The 19,993-nt window shown below is 36.8% G+C and overlaps 1 protein-coding gene across 4 annotated transcripts in view; it reads right to left on the reverse strand.

The window, feature by feature from the left end:
• Positions 954-19,993, reverse strand: part of CYP2C8 (cytochrome P450 family 2 subfamily C member 8) — a 32,726-nt gene continuing 13,686 nt past the window's right edge. For all 4 annotated transcript variants that reach the window (NM_000770.3, NM_001198854.1, NM_001198853.1 and 1 more), the window contains 4 exons: positions 9,992-10,133; positions 7,072-7,259; positions 3,079-3,220; positions 954-1,491 (listed from right to left, as the gene is read on the reverse strand). In NM_000770.3, coding sequence (NP_000761.3) covers positions 1,310-1,491; positions 3,079-3,220; positions 7,072-7,259; positions 9,992-10,133 — 654 coding nt within the window. In that variant the 3' untranslated portion in view covers positions 954-1,309. The remainder of the gene's footprint in view (positions 1,492-3,078; positions 3,221-7,071; positions 7,260-9,991; positions 10,134-19,993) is intronic.

Raw genomic sequence — 19,993 nt, forward strand, 5'->3', positions numbered from 1 at the left:
ATTAGTGTTAAAATAGAGGTCGTAAGACTGATGGGGTGGACTTTTTGTGGCAATAAGATACCAACTTATAAATAGGACCTAAGGTCATGGCAGGCAAGAGTTAGGTCATTCACCTCTACACTTAAAGAATAAACTGTGTTCTAACTGGCACAAGGTTTTAATTTTTCTCTAGCAACTATACAAGCACGGGCCTCCACCAGATGCTCACCCCTTCCCACTGTTCCACAAGCCATAGCTACAGCTTTCATTGGACAAGAGACTGATTTCAGTAACTTTATTCTGATAAGAGGACCACTGAACCTGCTGTACTGGTTCTGACTGTTTATAGAGGCTTTGTGCTTGAGTGCCCTCATGTCCCTGCTCCATTTTTTCGCCTATGGGGTTAAAGATGAGTGGATCAGTGAAGTAGAAATGGAGATTAAGTGTCTAAATTCATGCCTCTGTTTTGGTATTATTGTGAACACTAATAATATTTGAATTTTTTTCACTTTATGTTTTCAACTTAGAGTCAAGTATGAATATATACTTTCATATTGCTAATCATATGTTCTGGGTTTTATTCTTCTGTCTCCAAACAAGAACAAAATCCTTGGAAAGTCTCAACAGATTACATTATTTTTCTAATTTATATTTCTTGTTTTACACTTAACATAAATGCATTGGTAATTTGATTCTATGGCCCTGAAGTAATTAGCCTCATTTTATCTCCAAATAATACACAACTGAACTGATTTTCTCAATATTTCCCTGAAGGTTGTTTCTTCCCTTGGACAGACTTTCTCTGTTATAAAGCCAAACCTTCAGTAACTCTAGATGACAAACATCCAGAGACCTTCCTCACCCTCTTCTCCTTTGTCACTATCTGCTTATTATTATGAGGACAAGCCTGGCCTCCTGGCACTCTCTTTTCTTTATTTCTTGCATTATGCACAAAAGAGGGAAAGTCTGAGAACTGAACCAGCAATTAATAACACTTTTTATTTAGCACATTCACAAAAGAAATGGATCTAAATTATCATTCATTAATCACTTTTCTGTGTTTTACAGTGATAACATATTAAAAAGTCAGCATTAGAAAAGTATTAGCATATGCAGCAATTAATACAAGTGTTACAGAGTATGAATAATTGCAGATATATTTGTGCAGTGACCTGAACAACTCTCCTTAATGGAGTTTGGATGCTTATGGGATATTGAGTGAATGGGAAGATTTGATGAGAGGTCAGAGAAGACATAATAGTGGGAATGTCCTTGATAAAAAAAGAGTTGCAGGTGATAGCAGATCGGCAGCCAGATGGGCTAGCATTCTTCAGACAGGGATGAAGCAGATCTGGTATGAGGGTGGCAGAGAAACAATCCCTTTGGTAACTGCAGTAGTATTGAGGTTCTTTAAATCATCAACAGATTTCAGGTTAAAGTTCTGTAAAATTGTGGTTAGAAATAAAAATAGCTCCATGCGGGCAAGTCCTTCTCCTGCACAAATTCGTTTTCCTGAAGATAACAAAGAAAGGAAGTAGTTACTCCTTGTGTTTAACTGTGACTGTGACAAACAGTCATTTGTGACTTGCACAAACAGAATATGCAGTAAATAATTGATTAATGATTGGGTAGATGAATGAACATGTGGATGAATGGATGGATGACATGATGGATTGATTAATGGATGGTGGGACAAACAAATGTACAAAAAGAGATATATTTGCTATCTGTCTAACATCTAATCTCAATAGGCACCCTTCATTCAACAAATATTCATTGATTATCAGCTCCATAACAGTCATTTCTTTATTTATTCCCACATTAAAACAGCTCTTTTGCCATTTTGAGTTTCCATCTGTCATTATGGAAATACATGCACATTCTTGTTTCCTGTTCCAAGCCTGATATTCCATGACTTTTCCTTCCACTTTTCACATAATCTGTTCTCAGCTCTGGTCATACACTCTCTTCATCAATCTTGAACACACCATGAAGTTTCAAGTTTCATATCCTGTTGTTCATTTTGGCTAAGATACATCTTTATTAGGCTACATTCAGGACATAGGTTCAATTTCATTTCATCTTCACACTCTTTACAATCCCCTCAAGTAATCAAATCCTATGCTCTCTGGTTTTCCTCAACAGCATACTCATGCTTTCATTAAAGCACAGATTACCAGGAATCGTAATTCTGTATTTATTTATCTATTGTGGTAAAATGTGAATTCTTGAAGGAAGGTCTCTGTCCTTGTCATGTTGGTATCTACAGTGCCAAATATAAAGCAGACATAAAAGATCAAAGAATAAAGGAAGGAGATTCCATGGCCAGAGACTTAGCACACAAAACACAGGTGTGAAAAGCAAGTATCCAGGATATATGATCATGATTGGAAGAAGACAGGGTGCTCTGGAATCACTGCAAAATAACCTCTTAGCTTATGTAACCTCTTAGCTTCCCTTAAATTTTATCACCTCCTTTGAAGCACATGAAACATCCTCTGAGTTGCTTACTCCATTTTATGCCTCACTGTGTTATATGAGAGAGCAAGAAGCATGCAGAGTCCCCCTCTAGCCGCTACCCAAGGGCCTGTGCTTTCCTCTCTCACAGTCCTGGTCTGACTAAATTACAATGACCTGTTTACTCTTCTTCCCTAACTCAAGAGTGAGCCTCTGTTCTCATTGAAAGTTGTGCCCTTGGAGCTCAGCCTGGGAGGTGACAGACACCATGTAGAAGACACTCAATGCAGTTGTGGACTTAGATACATTTGTCAAGGCAGGTAAGGAAAGATCAGATGAATTTTACCTTCTAGGAGGAGCTCTTGGGTGCCTTAGTGATGTATCTAGTGGCAGAGTTCAGTCAAACCAAGATGTTCATTTTCTCAATTGGGAACAACAGAGTTAACTCCTGCAAGCCCCGCTATCTGGCCCAATAATGATGGTGTATTGTGAGGGTGGAGCACATGGGTGTTAAGAGTGGTGCTCTTGATCATGGACAAATAGCAATTCTACCAGCCCCAGAGGAGGTGCCATGTAAATTCCAACTAATTCCAAAAAGTTCTCTCTTTCCTTTAAATACAAATGGAAACGAGTTTCTATTACCTGCTGAGAAAGGCATGAAGTAGTCACTTTTCTTAAAGTTGCCATTCTTATCTAGAAAGTGGCCAGGGTCAAAGATATTTGGATTAGGAAATTCTTTGTCATCATGTAGCACGGAAGTCAGTAATGCCATTATGGTTGTGCCCTGGAAGTAACAAAACAGATAATCTGATTTATAAAGAAGTCCAGAAGTGAGGAGAAGTAGTGGACATCACGTAGCGCCATAACGTTGATCTATAGATGAGGAAACTCAGGTCCAGCCAGACACAGTAATTTACATGGATGAGCTTAAGGCCAGTGGTGGAAGCTTGCTAAAGAGCTTTCCAATCACATTTGAAGTCTTACATCTTGGATACTTGTGTGCAACCTTCTGAATGTGTTCTCCAGATCATCAAGTTTGGATGCCCTTTTCTGGCCTCATTTGCCGCTCTATTTCATCACTTCAAATTTGACACATCTTGTATTTTGATTATGTAGATTATGGTTTAAAATGGAAGTCTCTGTTGACACTTGAAATGTCCAGAGTATCTGTTCATAGAACTTTTGTAAATAAACATGTAATCTATTTTAATATGATGTCATCTGGGATGACAACCACAAGTGCAATAAGAAGTAAAAACTATTGTGTGTTTATTACTGCCATGCTACAGATTAATTTTAGCTTAAAACACTGAAAAGATGATGAAATTACAAAGATTATCACTTTGCAACAATTCAAGTCAGGATCATCAGGTCAGGTAAGGATCATCAATTAAAGCTAGAACCGTTGGGTGTGTGATTCTGGAAGCAGGAGTTTCGGATAATCTTAATGCACTCCCATAGATTTTTACTAGTTGCATATAAAAAGCAGAACCCCTACAATGGTAAGATCTGGAGGATACAACCTTATTATGTGGGGAACTTAGCATGACCAATAATGACATATGTGACATTTCATGCTCCCACCTCATCAATGTGATTCAGCAGGATATTTAAAGCACCTATGTAGTTTTCTTGCCAAAATTGTAGCTGGAATCTGCCTCTAGAAAACAGTCATACAAAACCAGCCTGAGGAACATTTTAAATGACTGCTGGTCTCAAAAAGGTCAACTGATTGAAAAGAAACAAACCAGGAAAGGAACTTTCCTTGATTACAGGAGGTGAAAAGGTCAACATAAATGAACTATATGCTTGTTCCTTGCCTGTATAGTAAACTGCAGGAGAAAAAAGCCATAAAAATATTCTAGAAAAATTGTGAAAATTTAAATTTAGGCTGTATTATTATTTGAACAATAGCTACTGAGTGTGACTATTATTGTGTAAAAGAAAAATCTTTGTTTTGGGGCATTACATACTGCAGTATTGAGGTGTAGATAGACCCTTGTATTGAGAAAGAAAAACCTCTTCTGGTTGTGTGCTTTGATGAAAACTGTGGATTGTAGTCCTAATCCTTGTAAAAAAATCAGTGATAATTAGGGAAAACCCCATCACATCTTGATAAGTTATCAATTCTGTCTTCTCCAGAGGATGACATTAGTAATTGAAACCTTATCAGTCTCATTGTTTTCCTTCATGAAGATATAACCTTTATTATTTTTAATTGAAAAATAATAAGTGGAATTGTGTAGTTTATAGCATAGCAACTAAAACATCTGGATGAATACAGAAACCATGTGATAGACAGCATTGTAAAGCTGCAAAGACCAAAATTGGCCTCCAGATTATAAAGACAATAATTGGCCCCAGTGACGGAAGAACTTCAGAGAGGTAAGCTCATACCTACAGTCAATTTTTGACTGTGTTCATGTCATATTCAATTCTGAATCAGGACAGGAGGTGTTGTCATTATAATTGCCTATGAGAGGGGAATGAATACATTCTGGAAAAAGATAAATGTTCTCTGAAATTCTGCATTTTTTCATATATAATATCTGGTACTGAGCCATAGGTTTTTAGGCATTTCAAGGATACAACTAAGCAGTCACACGAAGAAAAGTGGAAGGAAGGGAAAGCAATAAAAACAGACCCACATTAGGGAACGTTTCTCACCTAGTTTTATGCAGCCAGCATTATCTTGTTATCAAAGCTCTGAAAAGAAAATTTTGAGGAAGAAAAATTGCAGACCAAAATATCTTATGAATACAGAAGTCCTGAACAATAAGTAACAGAACAAATCCAGCTGTTTGTGTATACTTATGTATATTTAGTGAGGGATGTGAGGCCAGTATATACAATCATATAAATAGATGCAGAGAATCAATTTGATAAAATTGCACACACATTCATGACACAAATTTATATAAAAATGAGAGAAGAGAAAAAACTTCCCTAATCTGATAAAGGATATCTACTAAAATCTTAAAGATTTCTGATAAAGAATATCTACTAAAATACTTAAAACAGCAGCAATTTTTTGGGATCTTAAAGTGCATAATTGGGCTGCAGATGACACTGTTAATTTCTATTACAGACTTTAAAATCATGAGGGAGATCGTGTTTGCCTCACTGCCTTACTGTTCTATGAGAATGATTTTTGATAGTTTCCCTTACTGCACAACTTTTCTCCAAAGTGTTTGTCTTTTAGAACAGCCAGAAGGAAGTTACTGGCTTTTAAAAAATCTGTGCAAGGCCGGGCGCGGTGGCTCACGCCTGTAGTCCCAGCACTTTGGGAGGCCGAGGCGGGTGGATCATGAGGTCAGGAGATCGAGACCATCCTGGCTAACAAGGTGAAACCCCGTCTCTACTAAAAATACAAAAAATTAGCCGGGCGCGGTGGCGGGCGCCTGTAGTCCCAGCTACTCGGGAGGCTGAGGCAGGAGAATGGCGTGAACCCGGGAAGCGGAGCTTGCAGTGAGCCGAGATTGCGCCACTGCAGTCCGCAGTCCAGCCTGGGCGACAGAGCGAGACTCCGTCTCAAAAAAAAAAAAAAAAAAAAAAAAAAAATCTGTGCAAAACTACCAAGGTGCTCTGGGCTCTGCTCCCTGCCATCCCCAGTTTGCTAGCCTTATTTAGGGAAGGTACAGGAGTCTGATCACTTGGAATGACATGAGCCTTCTGGGGGCTGGGATTTTATGAAAATACCAACTATCTGTTTCATAACAAATGTAGAGTATCATTTCAAACCATATTCGTGAAAATTCTTTTATAAATGAAGTTAAATAAAAGTCAATTATTTTAAAAAAATACTTAAAACATCATTCTCAGTAGTGAAATATTAATATTCTTATACTCTACCCCCCAGCAGATCAGAAATGAAATAAGGATGCCCTCTATCACCAATTCTGTTCAATGCTAACCTGAAAATCCTAGCCAGCACAATAATGCAATAAAGATAAATTGAAGACAAAATCATTGGAAAATAAGATATAAAATACATATTAACCCAGATAGCAAAATAATATACATAGAAATTCCAAGTATATCTACAGATAAATTATCAGCAATGATCAGTAAATTTAGGAAAGTTGTTAGATATAAGGTCATCAGAATAGTATAATTGAATACAATTACTTATACCAATTACAAAGAAATAAAAAAAAATTAAAAAATTATAACACAACAAAATATTAATTATCTAGGAAAAACCTAATAAAAGAGTTGTAAACCACTGCACTGAAAATAAGACATTACTGAGAAAATAGAATAAAGCTCAATAAGTTGGGAGCATAACCATATTCATGAATTAAAAAATTCAATGCATGAACATGTTAAGTCTTTCCATATCGAACTACACAATGAATGTCACTTTGATAAAAATCTCAGAAGAGTGTTTTGGGAAATTGACACACTGATATTTTCAACAATTATTTGAAAGTGTAACACCTAAGAGCAGCCTATTAAGGAGACCTAGCTTTATAAATCTTTATAGCCCCAAACAAAATAGCAGAAAGTCCATCAAGCTGCCACATGTATGAGTTTTGCACTTCTCTCATCTTGTGTTGTTAGAGGGTTGGAACCAAACCAGCACTATGGAAATTTCAGAAGTACAGAAATATAGTGTAAGAGAAACAAGCTTACCTTGGGGATGAGGTAGTTTCTGAACTTAGTATCAGTGGTCACTGCATGGGGCACACCGGTGGGGACAAGGTCACTGTATCTCTGGATCTCGTGCACTACAGCATCAGTGTAAGGCATGTGGCTCCTATCCTGCATGCAGGGGCTCCTGTGTCTGCCAATTACATGATCAATCTCTTCCTGGACTTTAGCTGACAAGACACAAGAAAGAACTGATGGAAACGAAGATATATGGAACATTTGTCATAGCAATTCATGGCCACATTAACATGATATAAAAATCCCAGCAACATTACAAACATGAGTTACATGTCCAGAAGTACAACCAGCCATATAAAAAGAATTACCATAATATAGATACATACCACTCTCCTACAAACTAGTCATTACAGTGCATAAGTACATTTCTATAAATTAGCATATATGACAATACAAATTTAAGTAATACATTATTTAAAAAATAAACAGAACATAATAAGTCAATAAATTACAGTGCTTGCAAACAGAAAAACAATCAAATATGTATTATCAAAATAATATATGGGGTATAATGTTAAATTGTAATGGTTTTATAAATATATTTGTGTGTGCGGTGGTGGAGCAGGGGCAGTGATGCAATTAGCAATGGTACTGTCTTCATTCTTCCATTTCCAATTGTGGCCACTTTGAGCATGCTAGCAGTTTCTTCTGAAATTTATATTTGTATTTCTAAATAACCACTATTTCTTTCTATTTTTTACTTAACAATTTTTAGACAATATTTAATGATTTTCTGGTATGAGAGATGAGAATTTTCATCTCCATCTCTATTCCATATATAGACACACGCCCACAAAGTTATATGTGTACACACAGACACACCCACACACGTACACACACACAATTCTCCTCCTTCTACTTACCAGAATATATTTAGACCACAATTTCTGGTTATATCACTATTCATTGTTTACATCATTCTAAATATACTCACAGAAGCACACACACACACACACACACACATATACACACATACACATTCTTCCTTGGTTCTTTAGTTAAATCACAATTTTCTATTCTTCAAGTTAGAGTATTTGCACATGTTTGAAACTCCTAGTAATAATTTCCCAATTATAGGGAAATCTCAGACTATCAATCACATCTCTTTGATTCTTGAAGTCTCCTCTACATGTATTATTCACCTGGTCCCTTCTGAAGTGGTTGTTTCCTAGGAGCACAGCAGCCTCTCTGACACTCTCATTCTCTTACATGAGGTCTCCTGATTCCTGGCACCCATTATTTCTTCTGACTTAGTTTCAGACATGAGATGGAGCACAACCCCCAGTATTGGAGAAACTTAGTATAGAGGGTAAAATTTGTAGCAACCATGTAGGTCCCAAATACTTTTTTTCTATGAATACACAAGATAGTATGCTTGAGAATTCTGATGCTGTTTGAATGCTGATATTTTATATATGACCTGATATAACTCTCTGAAAGATTTTAATTTTCCCTTTACTTCTGGTGCTCTGAAATTCCATGACTTTGTGTCCTGTGATGGATGTTTTAATTTCATTCACTCTGCTGGACATTTATAGATAACTTTCTATTAAGTTGGCAAAATACGGAGGTCTTTTCTCCAGACTTGTTTCTTCTCTGGAGAGTATCTAGCTGGCTGCTGAATGTCAGGAAGCAAGATGAAGAAAAATGCTGAGTCTTTGAATCTGAGGAATAGATCTTTCTCAAACCTTTTTTTTTTCTGTCTTCACATCTCACAGTTTCCTGGCCCTGTAAAGTGTCGCCGAGTACAGGGGTTCTTAGGCTCAGTCTCTCTGGAGAGTATGCTTCCCTTTCCCAGTGGGAAAAAATCAGGTACCTGATAAAAGGAGTTATGGAGGAAACTTGGGCAGGAGAGCCTCCCTTTTCAGTCTCATTCCCTACTGTCTTTGGCTCTTGGTGCCTCCAAATACTGAACCTTATGAGAATCACAGTGACACAGATTAGCTTCTCCTCTTGATAAATCTTCCTCTGCTAATACTTACAACTCCATCCTCTATGCTGTGTCAATTGTCAGCCCTCCATTGTCTCTCCATGTTTTAGAAATTTGCCAAAGACTTATTGGCTATTTTCTATTCTCCTCTCTTTTCACTTCAGCAGGATAATTTTAATTTGTAATTTAGTTATTGAAATTTCAGTGGGATCCTGACACAGGGAAAAAGGTATGTTATCTGCTGCAAAGCAGGAACTATTTAAATGTAAATTCTAAGGAAATGTAGAGTTTACTCTAAGGGTAAATTGTAAATTCTAAAGAAAAGTTGTATGTGAAAGATGCAATTATTAAACCCCCTTCCAAATGTCCCTATTTGGTCAAATAGCATTTTTATGAAACACACTCCTAGAATAATAAAATTCCTTTAGGTATGGCCTCTGCTTAAATAGAAACACCTTTGTAAGAGACTAACTTTTAGATTACTTCCCAGACTGGAATTTATGTCAGGATGCCTCAGTACAATTCTAGAATTTCCACTTATGCTTCAATAAAGATTGTTTTCATCTCCCCACCACAGCATTAGAGCATGGAATTTTTAAAATGAGAAATGAACCTACTGTTCAAAGTGGACTTTTCATAATAAAACCAACATTCAATACTAGGGCAATTTATGCTGGCTCTCCTTACCACAAATTACCTTTGCTGAAATCCAGACACTTCATCAGTGCTTTACTTATTTTGCTACTGCCATACTGTTTCTACTGATCTCTGTCATCCTCCTCCATTGTACAAAGATGTCATTTTAAATTGTGTCATCAAATTTAGACAGATTACAGCTGATGACACAGAAATTTAAAGAATGAGCCTTCTCTGAGAGAAACAAGGTGGAGGATACTGGCACCATCTTCTCAGCATTGTTCTGAAATTCACTTTGTTCATCATCTGTGGTCCTACCTGTGACCTCTGGGTGCTTCAGCAGGAGCAGGAGTCCATATCTCAGAGTGGTGCTTGTTGTCTCTGTTCCAGCAACAAATAGATCAGCTACAGTGCCAACCAAGTTTTCAATATTGAATTCTGACTTTTGGTTGTCCTTTTCCTAGAAGTGATTTCATGCAATTATCTGACAAATTATGTGCCAGTATATCTAAATACACTAAATTTTAAAAAACATACTATTTTTTAAAGTTAGCCAAAAGAGATACTGGACAGTACAGTATTAGAAAAAGCAACTGTGTGGTATGGCAGAAACTGCAGATCAGTTGACTCAAACTTTATTTCCTGACAGACCTACAAGTTCCATTCATGAAATCATTCGCTGCTTAGGTTAGTCACACAGAATATTTCTTTCCCCAGAAATAAAAGCAGAAGTATACTGATGCCCTGTCTTACTTCAATTTGTGTTATAAAACAGAATACTATAGACTTGGTAATTTATAAAGAAAAGAAATTTATTTCTGATGATTCTGAAGGCTGGGAAGTCCAAGAGCATGGCACTGGCTTCTGGCAATGGCCTTCATCCTATTTCATTGCATGGCAAAAAGTAGAAGGGCAAGAAAGGGTAAGAGTGAGAGCAATTGGGGGGGGCACACTCACATTTATAACAAGCTATCAAGAACTACCCCACTCTTGCAATAACAACATGAGTATATTTATGAGGTCAGAACACTGATGACCTAGTCATGTTTTGTTAGGCTGCACCCACAAACACTGTTGCATTGGGCATTCACTTTTAGCACATGAACTGTAGAGGACACATTCAAACCAGAACATGAATCTTCTTCTCTTTTCTCCTCATTACTCAAAACACAAATGTGAAGGGGGAGGTAGGATTGACATCATCTTGGGACATGAGCATTTGATCATAGTAATGAAGACTTCTATACTAAATATGGTAAAAAAAAAAAAAAAAAAAAGAAGGCACTTGACTCTCTCATGCTTCAGGGCTACCATATTATTTCTAGTCTAGCCCACTATAAGACTTCTTGTATTTGAGATATATAAGCCAACTATTTGATTAAGCTCTTGATATAGTTTGGATAATAAATATTTATCTCTCCCAAATCTTTTGTTGAAACTTAATCCCCATTGTTATAGGTGGAATCTGGTGAGAGGTGATTGGGTCATGGGGGTAGATTTCTCATGAGCATTATTTCCCTTGATGTTATCCTGATAATAAGTGAGTTCACATAAGATCTGGTTTTTTAAAACTGTTTCCCCAACTTGCTTCTCCTCTTGCCATGTGACGTGCCTGTTCCTGCTTTGCCTTCTGCTATGAGCAAATACTCCCTGAGGACTCTCCAAAAGCTGAGCAGATGCAAGCATCATGCTTGTACAGCCTGCAGAACCGTGAGCCAATTGGGCCTCATGTTCTTATAAATTATCTGGCCTCAGATATTTCTTTATAGAAATGCAAGAACAGCCTAACACATTCATTTTTATGATTTTTTTATTATTTGTAAGTGAACACAATTTTAGTTTATAGATATAGGTAAATTAGGGCTATATCATGAAAAGTGTTACACTCTTGAATCAAGAGTTTGCAATTTTCTTCTGTCAAAAATTTACAAAGACTCAGTATCACCTACATATTCATTACAAAGCTGAAATGTGTAAAACAAATATGTCAACAAAACCAAGAATGAAATATAGTGAAAGAGAATGAGTTCACAAAGACAAGACAGGTCTAACAAAGTTGTAATCCAGATAGGCAACAGGCAACTTATTCTTAGGAATAAGTTCAGGAATAAATAGGAAAATACAAAGTGAAGAGAAATGGCAATTATTAATACAAAAACTTGAGGCATTAACTGCCTATATTGGATAAAGAAGAGTAGGGGCAATGCAAATGCCAAGGCCAAGGGACTAATCGAATAAAGTTCTCATAAATTGAAAGTGTGAATACACCTACAATAAGAAAATTATTTGAATTAGTAATCAAGAACTCCACCCCCCTCAAAAAAAGTTCCAGCTCAAGATTACTTCACTAGTGAATTCTACCAAAATAGTTAAAAACAGCTCAGATCCAAGGAAAAGGAAAGGGACCTTGTGTGAACAAGGTAATATCCTCGAGAAGTCTCAAAACCACAGCCTACTCCAGTACTTGTGCTCATGAAGGCAAGGAAGGTCACCTTGAGTTCAGATCCCAGCAGTCTGCCAAATTGGGTAGGGAGGCTGAGAACACTCCTACCTGCCCTTTCCATGGATTACTAAGTCTCTCAGGGTTTCACCTCTGCCAGCTTCTTTTTACTTTATTTGTGTGTATGTGTGTGTGCGTGTTTGTGAGTTGTAGATTCTTTCTTCTTATGAATTGACCAATAAGCTCCATTGCTCTCTCTTTAACAGTCCATTTGGCTTATGATTATTCACCTGTAATATTGGCTCTTCCTTCTGAGGATAATTGAACATTGACATCTTTGTCAGCCAACTGGAAATCTCTGATGCCTCAGGCTGTGGAAAGGTTTGAGAGATGTACAGTGCTTGGGTTCCACTCTTTGCTACAAAGGAGGGCAATGTTGAATGGGGCTTAACTGGGCCTAACTGTCCTCTGGTCTCCTAGCAGCAGGTGCAAGCACCACCTCTGATCGAGGTGGCAAGAGAGTGACATAGACTTTGTAAGATTTACTTGGTTATAAATAGGTTTAGTGTGGTAATTTTCTCAAATGCCAGCTGTACTAGCAATGTATTGGGTTTGTGAACACACTCAAGACCTTCCGATTAGCTGGGGTGATGTGGGTATGGTGTTAGCTGAGATACGATAAAAGTTTTCTCCTTCCCAAATGCTATGTTATTTTGCCAGCAGATGTTGTAATAGGCTGTGCCTATTGGCTTCCAGCTAGGAGGTGGTTCTTGCAGGAAAGAGCCACCTACGCTGGTAGCTGTGGGATTTGTGCTTGGCTGATATTACCCAGGGGAACATGTAGAAGAATGAAATATGATTCTTATATCTCACCACATACAAAAATTAACTCAAGATGGACTAAAGACTTAAATATGAGACTTGAAATCATAAAAATTCTAGAAAAAACCTATAAAAAACTCTTCTGAGCATTGGTGTAGGCTAAGGATTTATGACTCAATGTTTAAAAGCAATTTCAACAAAAACAGTTGACAATGGGACCTAATTAAACTAAAGAGCTTCTGCACAGTAAAAGAAATGACAAGCAGAGTAAACATACAACCTACAGAATGGGAGAAAATATTTGCAAAATATACCTTCAACAAAGGACTATTTTCCAGAGTCTACAAGAAACTCAAAACAGCAAGAAAAAAATCCGAATAATCCCATTAGAAAGTGGGCAAACAACATGAACAGAAATTTCTCAAAAGAAGATATACAAATGGGAGAGTGGAGCAAGATGACAGAATTGAATGCTTCATTGATTATTCCCCAAGCAAAGACATCAGTTTAACAGCTATCTACACAAAATGTACCTTCATAAGAACCAAAATCAGATGAGCATGCACCTTGATTTAAATATATATCACTGAAAGAGGAAATGAAGAGATAGAAAAAATACTATTGAATTACTGACATCCTCTCTTCCCCTGGCAGCAGTGGCATGGTTCAGAGAGTATTTCTGAGTACTGAGGGAGGGAGAGCACAGCAATTATAGAGCATAAAATTAGTGCAGTTCTGTTAAGGCAGAAAGGAAAACAGGCCCAAAATCAGCTGATGCCCACTCACAGAGGGAGCATTTAAACCAGCCCTGGCCAGAGGTGAATCTCTGATACCAGTGGTTGGAACCGAGTTTCTACAAGCCTCATCACTGTGGACTATAGGGCTCTGGGATGGTAAATAAACCTGAAAGGCAGTGTTGGCTACAAGTACTGTAACTTTTATGTGAGTCCTGGTGCTGAACTGGGCCCAGAGACAGTAGACTGGGGTGGGAGGTGCAACCTACTGAGACAGCAGCTGGGGATGGGTAAGGGAGTGCTGACATCCCCCCTCTCCTAATCCCAAGCTGCACAGTTTTCACTTCCAAAAGAAACTGCTTTCTTCTGCTTGAGGAGTGGGGGGCTTGAATAGCTAGCAGCAATACCCAGGTACTATGTTGAGGGCTTTGGGTAAGTCTCTGAGGCTTACCGGCTTCAGGTAAGACTCAACACATTCCCAGCTAGCTGGCTATCAGGAAAGACTCCTTCTACTTGAGAAATCAGAGTGAAATATAAAGTCGACTTTGTCTTGCAACTAGGTACTAGCTTGATCACAGGAGGGTAGAGCACCAAGTGCACTCCTGGACTCTCCAAAACCAGGACTTGGCTCTTGTACAGGGTCTGTATTCTGCATGGGCCTGTGGTAGCACTGCTCAGGGGGTGAGATTCCACTGCCTTTGGAAAGGAAAGGGAAGAGTGAGAAGGACTGCATTTTGTGGTTTGAGTGTCAGCTCAGCTGCAGTACAATAGAACACCAAATAGACTTCTAAGGTTTTTGACTCTAGTCCCTGGCTTCTGGGTGGTACCTCTGGACATGCCTGGGTACTGGAAGAATTTGCTTCACTGAAGGGAAGGACACAGGCCTGGCTGGATTCACCACCAACTGATTGTAGGGCCCCAGATCCTTGGAAACATAGGCAGTAGCCAGGGAATGGTTGCAGCAAGCTTTGGGCAAGACCCAGTGCTCTGCTTGTTTTAAGTCTCACCCAGTGCAGTCACAGTGGTGGTGGATACATGAGTGCTTGTGTCATTCCATCCCCAGTTTCAATTGACTCAGAACAGAGAGAGAGACTTTGTTTATTTGGGAGAAATTAAGGGAAGGGAACAAGAGTTTCTGGTAATCCAGAGAATTCTCTTGGATCTTGTCCAAGACCATCAAGGCAGTACCTCTACAAGTCTTCAAGAACCACTGCATTATTGGGCTTGGAGTGCCCCTAAAGCAGATACAGCTTAGATCACAACACTTAACTCATTTCCCATTTATTAAAAAAAGTGCAGTTCACTGCTGGTGCAGTATTCTAGGGGCAAATCGAAAATAGGTTAAGTCCTTTTTAATATCTGGAAAGCCTAACAAGAAGGATGTGTACAAAAAAAACCCCAGACTACAAAGACAACAAAAATACCTAACTCTAGAATGCCCAGCCCCCGATGAATATCTACAAGTATAAAGAAAATCCAGGAAAACATGACCTCACCACACGAACTAAATAAGGCACCAGGGACCAATCCTGGAGAAACAGAGATGTGTGATCTTTCAGCCAGAGAATATAAGATAGTTGTTTTGAGGAAACCTAAAGATATTCAAAATAACACAGAGAAGAAATTCACAATTCTATCAGATAAACATAACGAAGAGACTGAAATAATTTACAAGAGTCAAGCAGAGATTGTGGAGCTGAAACATGCAATTGGCATACTGAAGAATGCATTGGAGTCTTTAGTAGAATAATAGAATAGAATTGATTCAGCAGAAGAAAGAATTAGTGAGCTTTAACACAAGCTATTTGAAAATACTGTTAGAAGAGACAAAAGAAAAAAGAATAAAAAACAATGAAGCACACCTACAGGATCTAGAAAATAGTCTCAAAATGCAAATCTAAGAGTTATTGGCCTTAAAGAGGAGGTAGAGAAAGAGAAGGGAGTAGAAAATTTATTTAAGGGAAAATAACAGAGAACTTTCCAAAACTAGAGAAAGGTATCACTATCTAAGTACAAGAAGCTGATAGAACACCAAGCAGATTAAACCCAATGAAGACTACTTCCAGGAATTTAATAATAAAACTCCCAAAGATGTCCTGAATTGTATTGCCCAGATTTTCTGCTAGGGTTTTTATAGTTTTGGAGCTTACATTTAAGTCATTAATCCAGCTTAAGTCAATTTTGTATAAGTTCAAATACATGAAAATTAAACAATATGCTTCTGAGTGAACAGTGGGACAATGAAGAAATTAAGAAGAAAATTGAAAAATTTCTTGAAACAAATGATGAGAAAACACAGCATATCAAAACCTATGGGATTCAGCAAAAGTGGTACTAAGAATAAAGTTAATAGCTGTAAGTGTCAACTATCAAAATAGAAGAAAAACATCAAATAAACAACCTAACAATATACTTTAAAAAACTACGAAAGCTGGAGCAAACCAAACCCAAAATTAGTAGGAGAAAAGAAATAATAAACTCAGAGCAGAAATAAATTGAAATAAAGAAAACAATACAAAATATTAACAAAGCAAAAAGTTGTTCTTTAGAAGCATTAAAGAAAGCTGACAAACCTTTAGCCAGACTAAGGAAAAATATGACATGATCCAAATAAGTCAGAGATGAAAAAGAAGGCATTACAACTGATATCACAGGTATTCAAAGGATCATTGGTGGCTACCATGAACAACTATATACCAATAAATTGGAAAACTTAGAAGTAATGAACAAATTCCTAGATACATACAACCTACTGAAATTGAACCATGAAGAAATCCAAAACCTGAACAAAATTATAGCAAATAATCAGATTGAACTCAAGAGAAAGCATCCTAGTAGAGAAAAGCTCAAGACCCAATGACTTCAATGATGAATTCTAGCAAATATTTAAAGAACTAATACCAATCCTACTCAAACTATTCCACAAAATAGTGAAGGAGGGAATACTTCCAAATTAATTCTATAAGGCCAGTATTACTCTGATAACAAAACCAAAGACACATTAAAAAAAAAAGTTATAGGCCAATGTCTCTGAGGAATATTCATGCAAAAATCCTCAAGAAAATAGCTGCAAACCAAATTAATGAATACATTAAAGAGCTCACTCATCACAACCAAGTGGGATTTATCCCTGTATGCAAGGGTGCTTTAACATATGCCAATTAATTGATGTGGTACATCATATCAACAGAATAAAGAACGAAAGCATATGGTCACTTCAATTGATACTGAAAAATTATTCGATAAAATTCAACACCCCTTCATGGTAAAAGCCCTAAAAAAAACAGGGTATAGAAGGAACATACCTCACCATAGTAAAAGCTATCTACAAAAGACCAACAGCTAGTAACATACTAAATAGGGAAAAACTAAAAGCCTTTCCTCTAAGGTCTGGAAAACAACAAGGATGCTTACTTTCACCACTGTTATTCAACATTGTACTGGAATACCTAGCTAGAGCAATCAGAGAAAGATACAAAGGGGATCCCAATTAGAATGGAAGAAGTCAAATTATACTCATTTGCAGAGAATATAATCTTATATTTAAAAAAACATAAAGACTCCACTAAAAAACTATGAGAAATAATAAACAAATTCCGTAAAGTTGCAAGATACAAAATAATATACAAAAATCGGTAGTATTTCTATATTCCTACAGCGAACAATTTAAAAAATAATTTTAAAAAGTAATCCCATTTACAATATCCACACATAAAATTAACAATGAGATACCATCTCACACCAGTTAGAATGGTGATCATTAAAAAGTCAGGAAACAACAGATGCTGGCGATGATGCAGAGAAATAGAAACACTTTTACACTGTTGGTGGGAGTGTAAATTACTTCAGTCATTGTGGAAGACAGTGTGGCAATTCCTCAAGAATCTAAAACCAGAAATACCATTTGACCCAGCAATCCCATTACTGTGTATATACTCAAAGGATTATAAATCATTCTACTCTAAAGACACATGTACAAGTGTGTTTATTGCAGCACTATTTACAATAGCAAAGACTTGGAACCAACCCAAATGCCCATCAGTGATAGACTAGATAAAGAAAATATGGCACATATGCACCATGGAGTACTATGCAGCCATAAAAAAGAATGAATTCATGTCCTTTTCAGGGACATGGATGAAGCTGGAAACATCGTTCTCAGCAAACTAACACAGGAACAGAAAACCAAACACTGCATGTTCTCACTCAAAAGTGGGAGTTGAACAATGAGAACACATGGACACAGGGAGGGAAACATGACACACCAGGGCCTGTTGGGGGGTGGGGAGCAAGGGGAGGGAGAGCACTGGGACAAATACTTAATTCATGCGGGGCTTAAAACCTAGATGACAGGTTGATGGGTGCAGCAAACCACCATGGCACATGTATACCTATGTAACAAACCTGCACATTCTGCACATGTATCCCAGAACCTAAAGTATAATATAAAAAATCACTCAAAAATATGAATAGAAGGGAAAATTCCTTATCATAATAAAATGTATTTATAAAAATTCCAAAGATGTTTTATATCAAATTGTGAAAATCTAAAAGCTTATGCCCTAAAATCAGGGGGTAAAAAAACCCAAGTATATCTACTTTTACTACTGCTATTCAGCATCGTTCTTAAGGTCCCAGCCAAAACAATTAGACAAGAAAGAGAAATAATGTAGCAACTTGTATATTATGGATTTTTTTAAAAAAAATTAAGGATTATGTGCCATAACTAAATGGGATCTATATGAGGAGTGCAAGAGTGCTTCAATAAGAAAATCAATCAATGTAATACACCACCATATTAGAAAGAAAGGAAAAATCTAACAAGATAGACCATCTGAATAGAAGCTGAGAAAGCATAAGACAAAATTCAATACTTTTCCTGATAAAATCACTCAAAGATATGAATAGAAGGGAAATTTCTTATGAGAAAATGTATTTATAAAAATTCCAAAGGTATTTTATATCAAATTGTGAAAATCTAAAAGCTTATACCCCAAAATCAGGGGGAAAAGATCCAAGTATATCCAATTTCACTACTGCTATTCAGCATAGCACTTAAGGTCCTAGCCAAAACAATTAGACAAGAAAGAGAAATAAAAGGCATTTAGGTAAGAAAGGAAGACGTAAAACTATTTCTATTTTAAGATAACACAATTATATATAAAGAAAAGTCCATATAACCCACAAAAAACAACTAGAGCTGATAAATGTTTTCAGCTTAATTTTAGGATGTAAGATTGGTCCAGATATCAGTTGTGTCTGTTTATATCAGCAATGAGCAATATGAAAATAAAATCAAGGAAATAGTTACATTTGCAATAGCATCAAAAGGGCCAAAAGCCCTGAGAACCTATAATCAAGAAGATAAAAGACTGAAAACTATGAAATGTTGCTTAGAAAAATAAGGAGTATCTAAATAAATGGCAAACCATGTCATTTTAAAGGATTGAAATGGCACACGTATACATATGTAACAAATGTGCACATTGTGCACATGTACCCTAAAACTTAAAGTATAATAATAATAATAATGAAAGACTTAAAATTGTTAAGATGGCAATGCTTCCAAAAGTAATCTAAAGATTGAATGTAATCACTGTCACAATTCCAATGTCCTTTTTAAAATTTTTATTTGTGCAAAAATGGAAAAGCCAATCCTGAATTTATATGCAACTACAGGGAGAGGACTCAATTTCCAAATTTCCAGACTTCAAAACAAAACTATAGTAGTCAAAACAGCATGGTACTGGCAAAAGGAAAGAAATAAAGACCAGTGGAATAAAATTGAAATCCAAACATAAACCTAATCATCTATGCCCGGTTCATTTTCAACAAATGTACCAAGATCATTTAATCTAAAGGAAGAGTTTCAAAAAAAAATAAATAAATAAAGGAAGCGTTTCTTCAACAAACAGTGCTGGGACAACTGGGTAGCCACATACAAAAGAATGAAGTTGAACCCCTATCTCACTCTTATGCAAAATATAACTGAAAGTGAACGAAAAACTTAAATGTGAACTAAAACTATACAATTCTTAGAATAAAACATCGGTTAAATATTAATGCCTTCAGAATTGGAAGTGGATGCATAGATTTGACACCAAAACAACTAAAATAAGAGAGATAAACTGGGCCTCACCAAATTAAAATGTTTGTTCATCAAAGGACAAAATTAAAAATGTGAAATGACAACCTGTAGAATGGGAGAAAATATTTGTATTTCATACGTATTTAGTAAGGGTTTAATGCCCAGAATCCATAAACAATTACCTACAGTTCAACAACAAATGACAAGCAACCCAGTATAGAAATAAGCAAAGGGCC

The sequence above is a fragment of the Homo sapiens genome, chromosome 10 (genome assembly GCF_000001405.40).
Source record: "Homo sapiens chromosome 10, GRCh38.p14 Primary Assembly".
Lineage (NCBI taxonomy): Eukaryota > Metazoa > Chordata > Mammalia > Primates > Hominidae > Homo > Homo sapiens.